The sequence below is a fragment of the Homo sapiens genome, chromosome 1 (genome assembly GCF_000001405.40).
Source record: "Homo sapiens chromosome 1, GRCh38.p14 Primary Assembly".
In the NCBI taxonomy this organism is placed as follows: Eukaryota; Metazoa; Chordata; class Mammalia; order Primates; family Hominidae; genus Homo; species Homo sapiens.
Genome location: NC_000001.11, coordinates 148950486 through 148967623, shown reverse-complemented (window position 1 = coordinate 148967623; position 17138 = coordinate 148950486). Strand labels below are relative to the sequence as shown.

The following is a 17138-nucleotide window of genomic DNA, read 5'->3' as shown; positions in this document are numbered from 1 at the left end:
TTTTTTATTTGCAAGATGAGAACATTGATCTAACAATGCCATACTAATCTATTTTTTTGGTTTTTAGAAACTTTTATCTAGTTTGTGGAGAGATTAAATATAGAATATATGATAAAAGGAAGTATTTTGGAGGAAGTGCACTATGCTATAAAGGATTTCTCGAAAAAGTGGCAGATAGATACATAAGCTCTAAAATAAATATGCAAAAAAGTCCACAGTAAATATAGATAAACAAGTGTTCTAATTATGGCAATTCATGGACATGTAGATAATATTAATGTAGAAGACACAATTTAATAATTGCACCCTGGTAATGCTTCAGTAAAAGTAAGAGAGAGAGAGAAGAGCGTGTGTGTATGTATACTTATGTATGAACAAGAATTGGAAATAAATCAGAACTATGTAAACAGAAATCAATATTTACTGGCTCTCCTCACAAAGTTCATATTACAAAAGAAAAGTAGAAGCGCTAAAATCTCTCACTTGCTAATTGACAATGATGGAACTAGTAACTGCTCTTTTTGGTTTTCTTCCCCCTTATAAAGCAAAATCCCTGGTTTTCAGAAAATGATGGAAGGGGGTCATGCTTCAGGCTCAGGATACAAGTGGGAGAGGAACACCAAGTCAGAGATAGGTTTTGCTCTTACTTGCATAGTAGCTTCATTGGAGGAGAGGACATCGCGCAGTCTCTCTAAGTCATGATCTCGCTCTCTCACAGCAAGACGAAGCTGGCGCAGTTCTTTTTCTTTCTCTTCTAGAGCAGAGAATTTTTCATCTATAGCCCGCTGCAAGGAAAGGAAGACTCCTAAAGCTCTGTAAGATTTACTATCCTGATCACTCTTATTCAACAAGATGGCAGAATAGAAAACCAAATCCCAAAGCAGCAAATTTAAGCAAACACAAATTTCTATAATACCTATGTAGATAGAATAATCCATAGCATAGTGGGCGAAATGATGATACATACCTCCAGAGCAACAGCTTTATCATGTATTCGCTGGCGAAGTTTCTCAAGCAACATTTCATTTGCTTCAAGGGTTTTGTCTGAGTTATCTCGATACTGTAGGAGCTCCCGAAATTCCTGAGACCAAAAATAGTTTCTTTTATTCTTTTATCCAATATTAACTAAATTACCAAGTAATTTGCTAGTTATTCAGGATAAAAAAAAAACAAGATGTGATCACTCTCCTCAAAAGTAACAAGTTTAGCAGAGATAACAGACATATAAACTGTAAACTATTCTGCAACATACAACAGACACAACACATAGAATTAACTGTTCTGCAACATACGCTAGCCACCAGGGGAACACAGGATGCACTGCCTAACTCTGCCTGCAGGTGTCAGTAAAGACCTCACAGAGGAGGTAATATTTGCAGTGAGTCTTAATTAAAGGACTAGGATTTCCTAAGTGAAGAAGGGAGAGGAGGATACGTTAGAGAAAAAAAAATATGCACACTATGCATACAATGAAAAAATTGTACATTCAGTGAAATGTAGTGGATTCAATGTGACTGAAGCTTAGAGTAGGTGGCAGAACAGATCAGTCTCTTCTTAATGCTCCATCTTCCCCTCAAACTTTTATTCTATCATCAAAATTACTCTGTGGAAGTTTCTGTACAGTTTGTCTTCATCTATTAAACTGAGATCAGTAGCCAAATCTTTTGTCTTCCCAACACCCAGAAAAGTGTTTGATTCACAGAGGTGCTTAATAACTATTTTCTGAATATTAAGTCTTTATAAAAGACTTCATAAAAGACTGCTTAAGTCAGGGCTATATGTACTGTTTCTTATACTTGTTAGTAAGCATCTTAATTCACAAATTATATTTTCTATTTATTTTAAATCCTCCTGATTCCCACCTCTCTCAATGTTTTCCATATGGCAGGGACTCAGCACAGGTGGATTAATATCTTAAAATTATATAAACAAATTTCAGAGTTCTATGAGCCCAGTTTTCATTGAAATCATGTAAACTCACCTGAAGCAACTGCTCCTTGTGACTCAGACTATGGTTTAGGTGCTGGATGTTTTGTTCCTGGGTTCGAATCTCATTGTATTTTTCAGCCTCCCAGGCACGAAGCTGTTGGCTCTTATTCTGCAATTCTTCTTGTAGCTGCTGCAAGGCTTTTCGCAATTCCTGAATTAAACATATTACCTTTTTAAAGAGATCTAAAATTGTCACATGGTTATTAGATACAGAGGCCTTAAAATTTTCAAGGTATATAAACTGAAAGAGGAGCAGAGGGTGCCATTATTAAAATTGCTATAGAAGTATTATACATGAATTGAATAGGATATGGAAAATTGTAAAAGTTGTGAATGGGGTAGGAAGTAAGCTTGATATTATAGTTCAATACTTATTTTTTGGCTTAAAAAGAATACATCTATAGAACCATTAAGTGAGAATCTGTCCTACGGTAAACCTGGATTATTTACAATAAGCTCAAGGATAAACTATTCCTATCATCCTTTTTTCTAAAGATCTCATAGAGACCATCACTCTTCTTTCTTAGTTTGCCATATTTATTTTTCTAATAATAAAGTCAGTAATCTTTAAATCATCTGTTACTTTAGAAAGCTACCAAATACATATTCTCAACTAAACAAATCTTGGGGAAATGTTTCCTTTAGCTAAATAACAAAAAGTTAAGAATTATTTCTACCTCCATCCCTCCACCACTCCCCGACCCTGCCCAGACATCTGAAATTTTAATATTTCTTTTTTTTGAGATGGAGTCTCACTCTGTTGCCCATGCTGAAGTGCAGTGGTACAATCTCGGCTCACTGCAACCTCCGCCTTCCGGGTTCAAGCATTTCTGTGCCTCAGCCTCCCAAGTAGCTGGGATTAAAGGCTCCTGCCACCACGCTGGGCTAATTTTTGTATTTTTAGTAGAGACGGGGTTTCACCATCTTGGCCAGGCTGGTCTTGAACTACTGACCACATGATCCACCCACCTCGGCCTCCCAAAGTGCTGGGATTACAGGCGTGAGCCACTGTGCCCAGCCAAAATTTTAATATTTCAAAAGGAAATTCAGGGCTAATATTTGATCTCCAAACCACTAAACCAGGGAGATCCTTCAAAAATTACTTTTAAACCTGAGTGTTAAAGAGCTTAAGAAGAGACCACACACAAAAAAATCTTTTAAATCTTAAACAAACACATACACTCTGACCTAACAAGATAAAGGAACCATTTAAGAGTTGTGTATTTTGGCCCAGCGTGGTGGCTCACGCCTGTAATCTCACCACTTTGGAAGGCCAAGGTGGGCAGATCACCAGAGGTCGGGAGTTTGAGACCAACCTGACCAACATGGAGAAACCCTGTCTCTACTAAAAATACAAAATTAGCCAGGCGTGGTGGCGCATGCCTGTAATCCCAGCTACCAGGAGGCTGAAGCAGGAGAATCGCTTGAACCCGGGAGGTGGAGGTTGCAGTGAGCCGAGATTGTGTCGTTGCACTCCAGCCTGGGCAACAAGAGCAAAACTCTGTCTCAAAAAAAAAAAAAATGAAAGAAAGAAAGAAAAGAAAAGAAAGAGAGAGAGAGAAAGAAGGAAAGAAAGAGGCCGGGCGCAGTGGCTCACGCCTGTAATCTCAGCACTTTGGGAGGCTGAGGCGGGCGGATCACGAGGTCAGGACATCGAGACCATCCTGGCTAACACGATGAAACCCTGTCTCTACTAAAAATGCAAAAAAAATTAGCCGGGCGTGGTGGCGGCCAGTGCCTGTAGTCCCAGCTACTTGGGAGGCTGAGGCAGGAGAATGGCGTGAACCCGAGAGGCGGAGCTTGCAGCGAGCCGAGATCGCGCCACTGTACTCCAGCCTGGGCGACAGAGCGAGACTCTGTCTCAAAAAAAAAAAAAAAAAAAAAAAGAAGGAAAGAAAGAGAGAGGAAAGAAAGAAAAGAAAAGAAAAGAAAAGAATCGTATATTTATTATTCAAAAATAAAAAATAAAAAACAGGGCTGATTATTATGCATGTCATTCCTCTGACCTTAGTGGTTCTTCCCCACTTTTCTGCCTGGTTTTACCCATCCTTCAAGAATAACCTCAGATGTCTCCTCCTTCATGAAGTTTTCCTTGATTCCTTTTCCTTGACTCCTTTCCTAGATATTCCTGTAGGACCCCATATATACATCCCCTTCAGAATTTACCACACTGAAACTCAGCTTATGTGACTGTCTCTCTTACTGAACTATAAGTAACTTAAAAGAAAGGAGCCTGTGCTATTCATCCTTGTATTTCCAGGGTACAACTCAATACGGCAGTCGCCCCTTACCCACAGGGGATACATTCTAAGACGCCCAGTGGATGCCTGAAACCAGATAGCACTGAAGCCTGTGTATACTGTTTTTTCCTGTGCATAGATAACTATGATAAAGGTTTACATACAAATTACACATACTGACAGATTAACAATAACAATAAAATAGAAGAATTATAACAACATGCTGTAACAAAAGTTACGTGAGGGAGGCCAAGGTGGGCAGATCACGAGGTCAGGAGATCGAGACCATCCTAACACGATGAAAACCTGTCTCTACCAAAAATACAAAAACAACATTAGCCAGGCATGGTGGCGGGCGCCTGTAGTCCCAGCTACTCTGGAGGCTGAAGTGGGAGAATGGCATGAATACAGGAGGCGGAGGTTGCAGTGAGCGGAGATCGCGCCACTGCACTCCAACCTTGGCGACAGAGCGAGACTCTGTCTCAAAAAAGAAAAGTTACGTGAATGTGGTCTCTCTTAAAATATCTTAATGTTTTTTGTCTGTGGTTGACCCCAGATAACTGAAACCATGGAAAGTGAAACTGTGGATAAAGAGGGACTACTGTAACTAGCATATGGTACAAGGGCAGCAAGTGTTGAACTGAAATACTTAGATTATGCAACTGACTCAAGGGTTCAACACAAACTGTCCTGCTAAAAAGTTATGATCAGGGCAAAGTCAGCATTTAGGGCAATAAAATAGTTAATGATTTACCTGGTTATGTTTCCAAGAAGCCTCTTTCTGCTGTTCACTCTCGTGTGCTGCAGCCTCTACAAATTGCACACATTGTTTGGCATCAGCCAGTTGGCGCTCTTTCTGTCGTACCACCCTCTGGAGCTTCTGTATTTCAAGTTGGCTGCAGAATAAAGCACTCTGAAGATCAAGCAGAGCTACCTGTTGCTGAGCTGGAGAAGTACCCTCTGAGCTCTGAAAAGAGAGTAGAAATCACAATCACAAGGAGGGCAAGCACTGAGCTCCCACAAAGACTAAAAATAAAATCAAGACTGCAACCAAAATGGCACATCCCCAACTGAAGTCTCTCCTGTCCTACGTGACCCTCACATACGTGAAGTTGTCCAAGCTGGCTTTGGTGCAGCATTTCTCGAAGCTTTGCCATTGTGTCATTTTGACCTTCAATTACCTGGTACAACTCCTCAGTCTGAAAATGAGAGAGGGAATATCAAATATGTTAGTAAACTAATTATAAATTCCATTATATCACCTGTACACATTTTAGTAACAGGACTATTCCAAAATATCAATTGAGATTAAGCTACAACTTCTCCAGGCTAAGACATGCTAGTCTGACAATATCCATTTTGACAAAATATAAAATACTTGTCTACTTTGAAGGGACCAATTGTTTCCACACAGGTCCTTGATTGGTAAATATGTTACCTCACGTTCCCTGCTTTTCAGAGTTTCCTTGAGGTTCTGAATTGTACCATCTTGCTTTTGAGACGACTCCTGAGCACACTTTAGTTCATAGCTCATTTCATTAAGTTTCTCTTGAAGAATCTGAATTCAGCAAAGAAAAACAGTTTTTTAGGTCAATGATGTCTTTTAGCCTCAAATGAATAAAGCCTTTCCTCAAATCTAGGATTTAAAGAATTTCTTAGGGGATATTACCTTGTTATTTTTCCTACATAGAGTAACCATTAAAGTGGTAAGTCAATCAGCAACAAAAAGTAGCAGGAGAAATGAAATACTTCCTTCAATACTAAATTGTCTCAATTTTCACGCACTGTGATCTCTCTATGATGGCAGCCATACTAGGAACTTGTCCACATGGACCAAGTAGGCAAGTGGTTTCTAATATGGATCCCTTATACAAGGACCAAAGAGCTTCTGCTATCTAGCATAGGAGAGGGCACTATAAGGGCACCCAGGCCACAAGTTCAGCATCCCAAATTGTAGCAATTTTCTTCTAAGCCAGACATTAAAATTCATGGGCTAGAAAGTAGTAACAAGTTAAGCTAAAATAAAAAACACAGACCTCCTATCTCAGTGCCTTTTACAGTGGAAGACTGCATGCAAGTGTTTTTTTGAGACAGAGTCTCTCTCTGTTGCCCAGGCCTGAGTGCAGTGGCATGGTCCTGGCTCACTGCAACATCCACCTCCTGCGTTCAAGCGATTGTCTTGCCTCAGCCTCCCGAGTAGGTGGGATTACAGGTGTCTGCCACAACGCCTGGCTAATTTTTTTTTATTTTTTAGTAGAGACAGGGTTTCACCATGTTGGCCAGGCTGGTCTCGAACTCCTGACCTCGTGATCCGCCTGCCTTGGCCTCCCAAAGCACTGGCATTACAGGCATGAGCCACTGCGCCGGCCTGCATGCAAGTTTTAATTACACACCTGAAAAGCACCAGAAATTATGATCTGTACAGAACAAGCTAAAATCTTCATAAGAATAAAGAGAAGAACTACACTTTTACATGAAATATTCCCTAGAGCACAAGGAGTACACAGTATTCATCTCCCAAGTCCTACAAAGGTTGACAGACTCAGGCTAGAGCCAGTCACATCCTCAGGAAAACCTTGTCATCTCCTAGGGCATAGTACTAATCATACCTTGTTGGTGGCCTCTGTTTGCTGGATTTTTTCCTGGAGTTCTGCCAAGTGGGAATCAGATACAGACTGCTGAGTTATAGTGGTCTCATGTGAATTCAGCTTTTGTTGTTTCAGCAACTCTTCAGTCATGGGCTAGGAAGAAACGGCAAAACGAGTAAGGTGAGTTAAACATGGCCAACAAAATTTTTTTTTTGTCTTCAAAAATGTCTGTTGCATCTTTTGCCAGAGATTTAGAGAATCAGATTTGTTGCATAAATTATCAGTATGAATTCCTAAAGACAGGTCTGTTCCTTATTAAGAACACTGATTCACCTCCATTTGTACTATGCTCCCCAGCTTCCCTCTCCACTTTTCTGTACCAATTCACACAAACACTACATGTTTATTCAGCGAAAGCAAGTAATTCAGAGTTCAATGAGAAGGGGAGGATTTAATAAAGGAAATGCTTACAATGACCAAATATTTGCTTTATTCTATTTTTAATCAAGGAGTTGAAAAGGCATACTCATCAAACTTACACTTCCTGAGAGAAGTTACATTCCGGCTACCTTTCTTACAACATGCTTGTTTCACATTATTGGAAAAAATTGGCAGATTTTGATATGGACTATATATTAGGTAACAGTATTTTATCAATGTCTAATTTTCTAAATTTGATAATTGTACTGTAATTATATAAGAGATGTCCTTGTCCTTAAGAAATAATGCTTAAGTATTTAGGGTAAAGGAGTATACTATCTACAACTAATTCTCAAATGGTTCAAGAATTTTTAAAAAATACTGTGCAAATACAGACAGTGGGAGAGTTTATAAAGCAAATGTGACAAAATATTTGCAACTGGTAAATCTGGGTAAAGGGTATATGGGAGTTCTTGGTATTTCTCTTATAACATCTCTGTACGTTTGAAATTATTTCAAAATAAAAAGAGAAAAATTAAAATAAATTTAAAATAGATGTGCCTAAAGGCAGATTTATAGCATAAGCACAGATAAATAATCCATAGTGAAATGGGAAAGAGATATATTTTATAGGAATATCAATTCACTTAAAAGATTCAGGAGAAAAAAGTATGATTTTATATATGGGACAATTTATATATGGAACAATGATTTATATATGGGACAATAAGATAAACTTATTGAACTATTCTTAGTAATCATTACAAGCTAAGGATGTTAAAATAAAACTACAAATTTACTGCGGCAATTAAATTTGATCTTCCCGCCTCCATACCTGCTTCCATTCCAATTAGGAATATAAACTCATTAAGAGAGAAAAGGCAACTGCTATTCATTTTTTGTTTCCCTCACACTTTCAGACTTGATTACCACTTTCAAGGCAGTGGAGTTACAGCTTACCTTAAATCCCTTCCTGCCAGCAACTGACTGGAAGCATAAAAATTGCAGAAGAAAAATCTCTTCTATTCCTCCAGTGCTATTTATCAACTTTTCTAACACCTACTAAATGCTATAATAAGCAAAGCACCATGTGAGGCACTGTGAGGAATACAATGCTGACATAACATATATCTGTTGCACACTAACTATGTGCTAGGCACTGTCTTGAAGATAGAGTATCATGCAAGACAAAGTCCCTGTGCTCTTGAAACTTATATTTTGCAGGGGTTGGAGTGGGGAGTACATGATAAACAAACAAGGAAATGCAAAAAATATTATGGACAAGCCCTGTGCGGCAAAACAGGAAAGCATAATACAGAGTGGGTGGTTAAATTACCCTAAATTGTTTGATCAGAGAAAGGTCTTTATGAGGCAGCATTTAAATAGATATCTGAAGGAAAAAGAATCAGTCCTGCAAAGATCAGCAGAACAATCCAGGCAGAAAGAACAGCTAATGGAATATGAGCCTGGAAAAGAGAAAGGCCTCTGTGGCTAGAATAGCACTCTCCAGTAGAAATATAATGTGAGCCATGTATGTAATTTTTAATTTTCTAGTAGCTTCAATGAACAAAGTACAAAATAAATAGGTAAACTTAATTTTAACAAAATATTTTATTTAACCCAATATATCCAAAATGTTATCATAAACATGTAAATAATATAAAAATTATTAATGAGATAACATTATTATCTGAGATAATATTACATGATTTTTCATAAGTCTGAAATTCAAGGTATATTTTATACTCACAGCACATCTCAATTTGGACTAGCCACATTTCAAGGGTTCAACAGCTCCTAAGACTAGTGGCTAGCTTACTGGATAGCACAGGGCTAGAGCATAGTGGGCAAAGGGGACAGGGAAACTCAATGAGGTGGAGAGGCAGGCAGGCACCAGGTCACATCCAGCTTCAGACAACAAAGTTAATGAACTGGATTTCATTTTAATTGAAATGAGAATAGACTGCAGTTTTTTAACAGGTAATCATACAGAAGTTTTGAAAAGATCATGCTGTGGTGAATGAATTATTGGGGAGCACCAAGAGAAGCAGAGAGACCAGGTAGGAGGCTGCTGCGGTAGTGCAGGTGAAAGACAATAGTAGCTTGGATCCTGGTGGTTAGTAAAGGGAGGGGGAAATAAATGGATAGATATGGATATGTTTTGAAAGTATAGCTAACAGGACTTGCTGGTGGACTGGATAGAGGGAGAGGGAAAAAAGCAGCAAGGATAATGACTTCTGGAAAAATTATTTGAGATATTTGTTGTTGTGAGTATAACAGGAAGCCTTCACCTGAGGCAATATGAACTATGTCACACCATGGGCAAAGTAACCACATTAATAGATGTTTACAATGATTCTAACTAATAAATAAATTCATCATTTACTTAATGATAAAACCATCTCTATAAAATTTGGCTTCTTACTTCTTCAGCGTAAAACAACAGTAACACCTACAGTAAGATACTTTGAAATTCAAACTACAACAGGCAGAATTAAAGAAAATAGCTTCAAGTTTAAAATGGCAAGGAAGGTGGTCATATTTATTTACTTTAAACCAAACAATCTTACAGTGGTGAAGGAAACTTTATAAACTAACCATCTGATCCAATCCTATTTTACATACAAGGAAATGGAAACTTAGAGAAGTAATTAGTCCAAGGTTTCATGGGAAATCAGGAAAAAGATCCAATTAAACTGAACTGGATTTCCACTCAGGTTGGGAATGTATCTCTCATTTCTATAAACCCATTGCCTACCATAATGCCGGGAATACTGCAGAGATCAAAAGTTTTTGTTTAATGAACAAATAAGAACAATAAAAACAAACAAAAACGAGCCTTTAGTGGCTCTCTTAGAAATAAGACTGTATATAACATATATTCGAACAGCAACTTTAAAGCCAAAGAATGCCACAGGAAAATACATAATGTATTTGAATCTCATATGAATCAATCTTGACATGAATAATAATAAGAAACCTCTTTTTCTATAAATAATGTACTGACCTAAAAGTTGGAAGATATTTGTTTCTTCTTTATTTGTAATAATTTACTATTTTGCATCTCAGAAAAATGTCCTTGCAGGTAACAGTCTGCTGAAAGAGCACTTAGCAAGTCCCACTAAGCCAACAACATAATGAATTCTTGTGAAGTATCAAGTACATAAAACAGTCACTCCTACAATGATAGTGTAGCCCATGAAATAAGTAATACCTGATTTGGTAGAATCAGTGTTACTCTCTAGACACTCAGGTACTAAAATCATGTGGAAATGATAATATAATTTTAAATTAAGTCACTTTTGACTCAGAATTAGGACAAAGGCTTTCCAGTATCAGAAAAGAGAACCGCTTCCAGGCCTAGTGTTGCACAATATGAGACTTTTTTTTAGGCTAAGGCCAGTTTTTAGACTTTTTGTGTTAACAGCAGTTTTCTTGGCACTTTCTAGTCCTCACAGTAGTGAGTTATAGATCTCAAACTGCTATAATTGTCAACCCTATTGTTAATAATAGGAGACAGACAAGAACCATTGACTACCATAAAATTAAAGGCCTAATCTTTTACCAGCATCTAATGCCAACATCTTCCAAAGGGCCTGATCCACTTCACATAACTAAAATAAGAGTGGGATAAATTTACCATAGTCACAAAGGAGCAGACCTTGGCATTGCAAGGTTTAAGGCAAAGATCTTCTGTTCTTTGAATTTAGATAGAAAGGGAAATTGCACATGGGCCAGAGCTCATTGCTGTTTACTAAGGGACCACATCCCTCCCATCATAGCTTTTCTAGTTCAGGGCCAGACAATAAAGAAGGGAATTACCAGCTAGAAGAAGGCTTCAAACCTTTCTTTAGATATCTGAACAGCCTTAGGTCCTCATACATAAATTCTGTAGAAGGGAAATAAATTACTTTGTATAATATCAGAATATCAGTAAGCAGAACTACACTGTTGCTATTTTTCTTTAATAAATAAGAAAGGAACAAAGAAAAAGACGGAAAGAAGGAAAGAAAAAAAAGAGGAAAAGCAATCAGGAGGAATCCTGATGTCAATATTTAATAGTGCATAAAATATGGTAAGTGGAGGATTAAACAAAGGAATCAAAATAACCTTACAGAACAATCTTGCTCTTTAAGATAAAAGGTTTTCTCCATATTTGTGGCAGAACTGAACTAAAGGAAACATTTTTTTCTTTCATGGTTTCGTGTTTCTACAAACTAAAAAAGAGAACTACCAAAAAAAATTATATTATTTCTATTCTTTCCATATTTGTTCAGAGAAATAGACAAAAACCAGTCTGCCATTGTCCCATCTAGCACTGGTTTTGTCATAAGGCTCTTAAGGAGCTTAAAAGTAACCAGATTTAAACAATAGATACACCGCCCATTTTATTTACAAACATGTTGGGCCCAATTCATCTATTTTCCCTGACATCCTAAATTATTAGAGAAAATGGCATAATAATTAAATGCCACATTTCTTGAAGCTGAATGACATTTTCTCCCACCTCCTAATTTTTGTTTTTCTAGAAACAGTAAACAATGTAAGTCAAGTCACAGCAGAAAGGTCATACACTACCATCTTAAAGCTCTAATGTCCAAATTTAGTGAAGTAAAGGGACTTGACCTGAAGATACAGTTACCATAGTTTATATGTGTTCATTCAGATGACAATTTTTTTCACATAATCTCTAAAGAATCCTCCGAGCATCCTTAGGTTAGAGAAAGAGGGCTCCTGGTTTAAAATAAGTACTTACTTAAATTAATATACTTCAGACAATGGGGTTTAATGTATAGAATTAAAGTGTCTTGCCTGAGAATGGTCAGAAATCTTTGTCTCTGCATGGGCTACGTTAGTTAAACAAGGAACTTTCCATATCTCCAAATTGAGAGACTGCCTGAAGATGATCTTTAAAATCCTTCTCCACTCCAAAATCCAGTCACCAAAATATAGTATTTTATTTAAATACGGAGAAAAAAAGATCTTGTTTTGGCTGTTATTTTCTCAGTCTTTATGTAACGTTCTACAATATTGGTCATATTTGGTGGCGGGCTGGGGGGACGAGTTTATTTCCCATCCATCCTGGCCCAACTAATTTTAGACCCTAATATGAAAACACCATGTTTAATTTGTAACACCTATGTCTAGTCACAGAAATACTGTAAAGCCCAAATTTAGCTGCGAGGCTCCACTGAAAGAAAAAGCAAAAGAAAAGAAGTACACAGTGTTAAGCATACAGTGCTTAACATTTTATACAAAATGAAAATGCACTGACTTTTTACCTTTCATGACACTTTCATCTATGCTGTTTCTCATCTATGCTGCTTCTCATAATTTTGTGTAAATTTAAAAACTTTTCTCCTGTTTTCTGCTTAGGTTCTTATTGTGATAGACAGTATACATACCATAGAACTACTTTCCAAAAATTTCAAGTGGCCATCAACAATGTCACTTATCAAGCTCTAAATTTCTGGAATGACGTTGACCAGTAGCAGGCTTTCTAAAAAATGCCTTCTAGATCACATCTACCTTTGTGACAGTATTGTTAAATAAGTTGTATCAAGTGGAACATGCCAGAATGTTTCACAAAGTTTATTGAAGCTAGCATTTACTGTTGCTATAGAAACAAACTACCATAGTTGAATTTAAAAGGTTGGTACAGAATCAATTGGGCAGACACGAATAGCTCAAATTAAGCAATTAAGAATTCAAGACTATAATGAATGAAACTCTCCTCTGATCCAATAATGGGTTAATCCTTTCTTAATATCAAATATCTTCCAGTAGAACTCAGTAGAGTTCTGGCTGTGAACAGTTTATGCCTTAATCTTTTGACTGACAATACTGTACTTGAATACTTGAATTCCTGTCTCTTTTATGAATGAGTCATCACTAATCCTCAAATGAACTATTAATTCTAATTAATATGGTCCAGATGTTATAATACTTTACTGGTGGATTAATAGGCTTTCCCCAAACCTTTTACCTTATGCTCTAATCATTTACAGGCATTTTGCGGATGAAGGCTTTAATGCTCCAGGAAGAACTAACTAGAGAACTAACTGCCTTACAGAAAACCATTGGGAGGAAACGTCTATAAATCTGAAAACAAGAACAAATTTTAAAAGTTGGAAAAAAAAAAGAGGTAAGAGGAAAAGTTCTAGTGCCAGAAATGAGATTAAATGTCTTCTTTTTATAGGAAAAAAGTGAAGTAGGAATCTTTACCTTTTTGTTTTAAAAGGTATACAATTTTGATAATGGGAAAGTCAACAGATTTTACAAAAAGGATTGTGAAAATCAAATTATCTGAGTGCAAATCACGTTTACTAAATGAGACAGAGCAAAAGGTGCAGCAAAAATGGGGTCATGACTAATTTTCTCAAGTCCAGAATATTTCTAACCTCCACCTAGACCGAAATCACGTGAAGCCAGAGGCCAGCTAGCTATAATCAGAAAGGCACTATGTAGCCGTTTTGTATACCTGGACCCGGAGCGGCAAATAATCTTCACAGAGATCATCCCACAGCTCCTGCAGGTCTGAAAGCTCCAAGGGATAACTCACAGGTGTCTTGTAAAGGGGTTTCAAAGACCTGTTAAGGAAACCGGAACTAACTCCATCTGTCATGCTAGGGCCAGGCTTGGCTCCAGGTAGGCTGGATTTCACTGGAATCGGAAGCCTGCTCCCTCGGGGGCTCTGGATGGGCTTATAATCAAGACCTTTAATCATGCTAAGAGCTAATTCCAGCTTGTGATTACACCCATGCTGCGGAGCCTGATCATCTGAACAACAGTCACACTTTCCAAGTTCCTTTGCACTTCTCTCAGTCTCCTCATCTTTCTGTTGTGGAGGGCTAGCCTGGACGCTTGCATCCAAAGATTCCACAGAGGAACCAGGCGTCTCTTCCTCCATGCTTTCTCCATCTGGGGGTACCTTTGTGCTTGCTAAGTCGGGTGGCCCAACCTCAGACAACGCTGGTTCTTCAGTGCAAATGCTGGTCGACCACCTGCTAGAAGGGCCGCAGGAGATACTTCTGGCCACCTTTCGAGGTACCTTACAAATGGCTTCATAGTCAGAATCAGCAACCCGCAAAGCGGCACAACCACGGCATCTCCTGGGTCGGTTTCCAGGGCCTTCTGAACCATGGCAGCTGTGTGGCTCCTGGATCTGATCCTCATTCTCCACCCAGCACTCAAACCCTGAATAGGCGAAGTCCTCCTGGAGCAGTGCAGAGTATCTCGCATCGGGTAAGACGGACATGTCAACCGTCCCATTCCCCGCCTTGATCTCCGCGCCAGAGTCATCGTTATTCTTCCGATACATACTGGCAATGCAGAACTTGAGGCGATCCTTCTCCAGTAGCAGCTTTTGCAAGCGCTCAATAGAAAGCGCTTCAATCCGGGCAATAACTGTGTCGAATCGATAGATTCGATCAAGCATGAAAGCACACTTGCTGCAAGCGAACTCGGCTTTGCCATCGCGGGGGACATCCTTGCCCAAGACGTGCGAAAGCAGAACCTGGAGATTGAGCTTGGACGCCGTGTGGAAGATCCAGCGCCGCTGGTTTCCACACAGCTCTCGGGCACAGATCCTGCAAATCTCCTTCATCTTCCCTCCTAGCGGGTGGCAAGCTTCCCGAGGCGGCGGCGGCGGCGGCTACTGGGTGACCACTCAATGGCTCTTCGCCGCGCTCTGTCTCCCGCCTCGGTGGTCTCCGGTCAGCATGGCACAGCCCAGTGGGGTCCCCACTCTGCAGGGGCGCGCCCCTGCCCCGCGCGCCGACTCCGGGTACCAGAGCCGTCAGCCCCGCCCCTCGGGCAGGGGGCGGGCGTGGAAACGCCTAAGAGGATGCTGAGTGACAGAGGCGCAGGCCGCGCTCCGACCCTGCCATGTCTCTCCCCAGCTGTCTCTCCCGCCAGCCGCCGCGTCCTCAACGTCCTCCCCTTTTAGCAGACTGGGCTCCCGGAGCAGCAGCGGCCGGCCGCGCAGACGCAAAGCCTCGGGGATGGAGGATCAGATTTCAAGATGGCGCCAGCGGCTTCGCGTCTGCGGCCTCCACAAGGCTCTTCTGGGAGCTGTAGTCCGGTCAGCGGGCTTCCGGCTCTGCGCATGCGAGGTAGCCAGCGCGACCCTCGCCCCAAATCCGGTTGCACACCTGGCTCACGGCGAGTGCGGAGCAGAAAGCACTACTGGCGCGGGCCACAGCCAGCCGCTTTCATCTGCTAAGACCTCACCTGAAAGTCGCACCAGTGCCCTCAAGGATCCTCCCGCCTCTGCAGGATGTCGAGGCTCCTCCTCGCGGGGAGGAGAAAGACGAATCCCCTCCCTGCATTCTCGGACAGTGCCACGTCCTCCGGCTGCCAGCGGGGCAGCGCCGCTAGGTACCGCTGCGCGCCGCCCCCGCTTCCCGCCAGCAGCCTCACCTTTCCCGGCCCCGCCCCGCCTGGGTTCTAAGGGCCTGAGGCTGCGAGGCAGGCGAGGGAAGGCTTGGTAACGGAGGGGCGGGGCCGTGCAACCCTTACCTCGACTCTGAACAGGAATGTCCAGAAAAGAGTAGAGGAGTGTTTCTCCCTTGATGTGGGTGGGGGAGGGTTAGTACCCGTGGGTGACTTGCCCTTCTTTAGATAAAAAAGCACAGAGCAGTCACCTGAGAAAGAGTCCGGCACATACAATGTGAATCTGGTTAACCAAGATCTTGAAGATAGTAGAAGAGAAATGGGCTTTTTTAAGGATGCAGCCAGCCGCGAGTAGATTACCACCATTGAAGTCCCTTTCCCTCAGGTAGAGGGCAGTCATTATTTTAGGACAGGGGACGGTAGACAAACACTAGCGCAAAAGACAGTGCTTCTTTCCGTAAGAGCTGGAGTGTCTGGGAATGCAGCTCGCGCCAGAAAGGACTGGGAACTTCACTGACTTCGGTGAAAACCATGTCTTACTCAGCATTGTACAGTGATAGGTCCTCCACCCTTGGGTCCAAAACTTAGATTGCACACAAAGAGGAGGGAAGCTGGAGCCCTGACTAGGTAGAATGCTGGTACCTCCGGCCATTTTTAATAAGGAATTATCTTCCTGGCTTGAGAGGCATTCAGACACGTAACAAGAGGAACAACCTCAGCAATCACTTGCAGTCCCCTAGAGCAGGACATTTCCCAGTTCTAATCATGCTAAATTTTTACTAACTTGACCTTGTAAGCTAAGGCCAGCAACATCTAAGTTTTTCTGAACCTCATCCCCAGGACAGAGTCCATACTCCTAAGCCTGAAGACATCCAAATGCCATCTCTGAGAGTTCATAATAAGCCCCCAAACTTCTTATTGAAGACTAAATGAGATGATTTTGAGGAAATGCTTTAACCGTGTTTCGCTCATTAAATAATAGCTAATATTATTATTTTACTATGAATTGGAATATTTTCAGTAACTTTAAAACATTATGGGGCCCTGCCTACATAAGATTGTATTGTTCTCTTAATCACCAAAGCAAAATCTTGTAGCTCCATTGTAAGAGAAAAGGACAGTTCTTAGAGCTTTGGGCTTAGTAGGTGATATGATTTGAATATATGGCCCCACCAAATCTCATGTTGAATTGTAATCCCCAGTGTTGGAGGTGGGGCCTGGTGGGAGGTGTTTGGGGCGGTGGGGGGGGCAGATCCCTCATGGGTTTGTGCTACCTTTGCAATAGAGAGTGAGTTTTTCTGAGATCTGGTCATTTAAAAGTGTGTGGTGCCTCCACCGCTCCATCTTGCTCCTGCTCTGGCCATGTGACTTGTTTGCTCCCCCTTCGCCTTCCTGAAGCCTCCCCAGAAGCCAAGCAGATACCAGCACCATGCTTCCTATAAAGCCTGCAGAACTGTGAGCCAATTAAACCTCTTTTCTTTATACATTACCTGGTCTCAAGTATGTA

General features: G+C 40.6%; 1 protein-coding gene across 40 annotated transcripts in view, besides 6 other annotated features; it reads right to left on the bottom strand.

The window, feature by feature from the left end:
• The window catches only part of PDE4DIP (phosphodiesterase 4D interacting protein), a 224583-nt gene that overhangs the window by 65393 nt on the left and 142052 nt on the right, over positions 1-17138 (bottom strand). For 31 of the 40 annotated variants that reach the window (NM_001377392.2, NM_001350521.4, NM_001395298.1 and 28 more), the window contains 7 exons: positions 6839-6970; positions 5668-5787; positions 5336-5428; positions 4984-5196; positions 1982-2140; positions 968-1081; positions 648-785 (listed from right to left, as the gene is read on the bottom strand). In NM_001377392.2, coding sequence (NP_001364321.1) covers positions 648-785; positions 968-1081; positions 1982-2140; positions 4984-5196; positions 5336-5428; positions 5668-5787; positions 6839-6970 — 969 coding nt within the window. Of the gene's footprint in view, positions 1-647; positions 786-967; positions 1082-1981; positions 2141-4983; positions 5197-5335; positions 5429-5667; positions 5788-6838; positions 6971-13718; positions 15251-15469; positions 15487-17138 lie in introns of those variants that run through there. The other 9 variants (NM_001395297.1, NM_001350520.2, NM_001395301.1 and 6 more) reach the window with 2 other exon arrangements.
• Positions 14549-15297: an enhancer, noted in NCBI's record as "NANOG-H3K27ac-H3K4me1 hESC enhancer chr1:144931414-144932162 (GRCh37/hg19 assembly coordinates)". NCBI's record gives its function as "activates a minimal SCP1, AML or CMV promoter by ChIP-STARR-seq in primed H9 embryonic stem cells {active_cell/tissue: H9 hESC(primed)}" and the evidence as "EXISTENCE:reporter gene assay evidence [ECO:0000049][PMID:30033119]".
• Positions 14549-16047: a biological region, named in NCBI's record as "NANOG-H3K27ac-H3K4me1 hESC enhancers GRCh37_chr1:144931414-144932162 and GRCh37_chr1:144932163-144932912".
• Positions 15090-15378: a silencer, noted in NCBI's record as "fragment chr1:144931955-144932243 (GRCh37/hg19 assembly coordinates)". NCBI's record gives its function as "represses an EF-1alpha promoter that drives an FKBP-Casp9 reporter gene in an ReSE screen in phorbol 12-myristate 13-acetate-treated (for megakaryocytic differentiation) K562 erythroleukemia cells {active_cell/tissue: K562(+PMA)}" and the evidence as "EXISTENCE:reporter gene assay evidence [ECO:0000049][PMID:32094911]".
• Positions 15295-15374: an enhancer, noted in NCBI's record as "active region_1651". NCBI's record gives its function as "activates an Ori minimal core promoter by ATAC-STARR-seq in GM12878 lymphoblastoid cells {active_cell/tissue: GM12878}" and the evidence as "EXISTENCE:reporter gene assay evidence [ECO:0000049][PMID:35858748]".
• Positions 15298-16047: an enhancer, noted in NCBI's record as "NANOG-H3K27ac-H3K4me1 hESC enhancer chr1:144932163-144932912 (GRCh37/hg19 assembly coordinates)". NCBI's record gives its function as "activates a minimal SCP1, AML or CMV promoter by ChIP-STARR-seq in primed H9 embryonic stem cells {active_cell/tissue: H9 hESC(primed)}" and the evidence as "EXISTENCE:reporter gene assay evidence [ECO:0000049][PMID:30033119]".
• Positions 16048-16796: an enhancer, noted in NCBI's record as "H3K27ac hESC enhancer chr1:144932913-144933661 (GRCh37/hg19 assembly coordinates)". NCBI's record gives its function as "activates a minimal SCP1, AML or CMV promoter by ChIP-STARR-seq in naive H9 embryonic stem cells {active_cell/tissue: H9 hESC(naive)}" and the evidence as "EXISTENCE:reporter gene assay evidence [ECO:0000049][PMID:30033119]".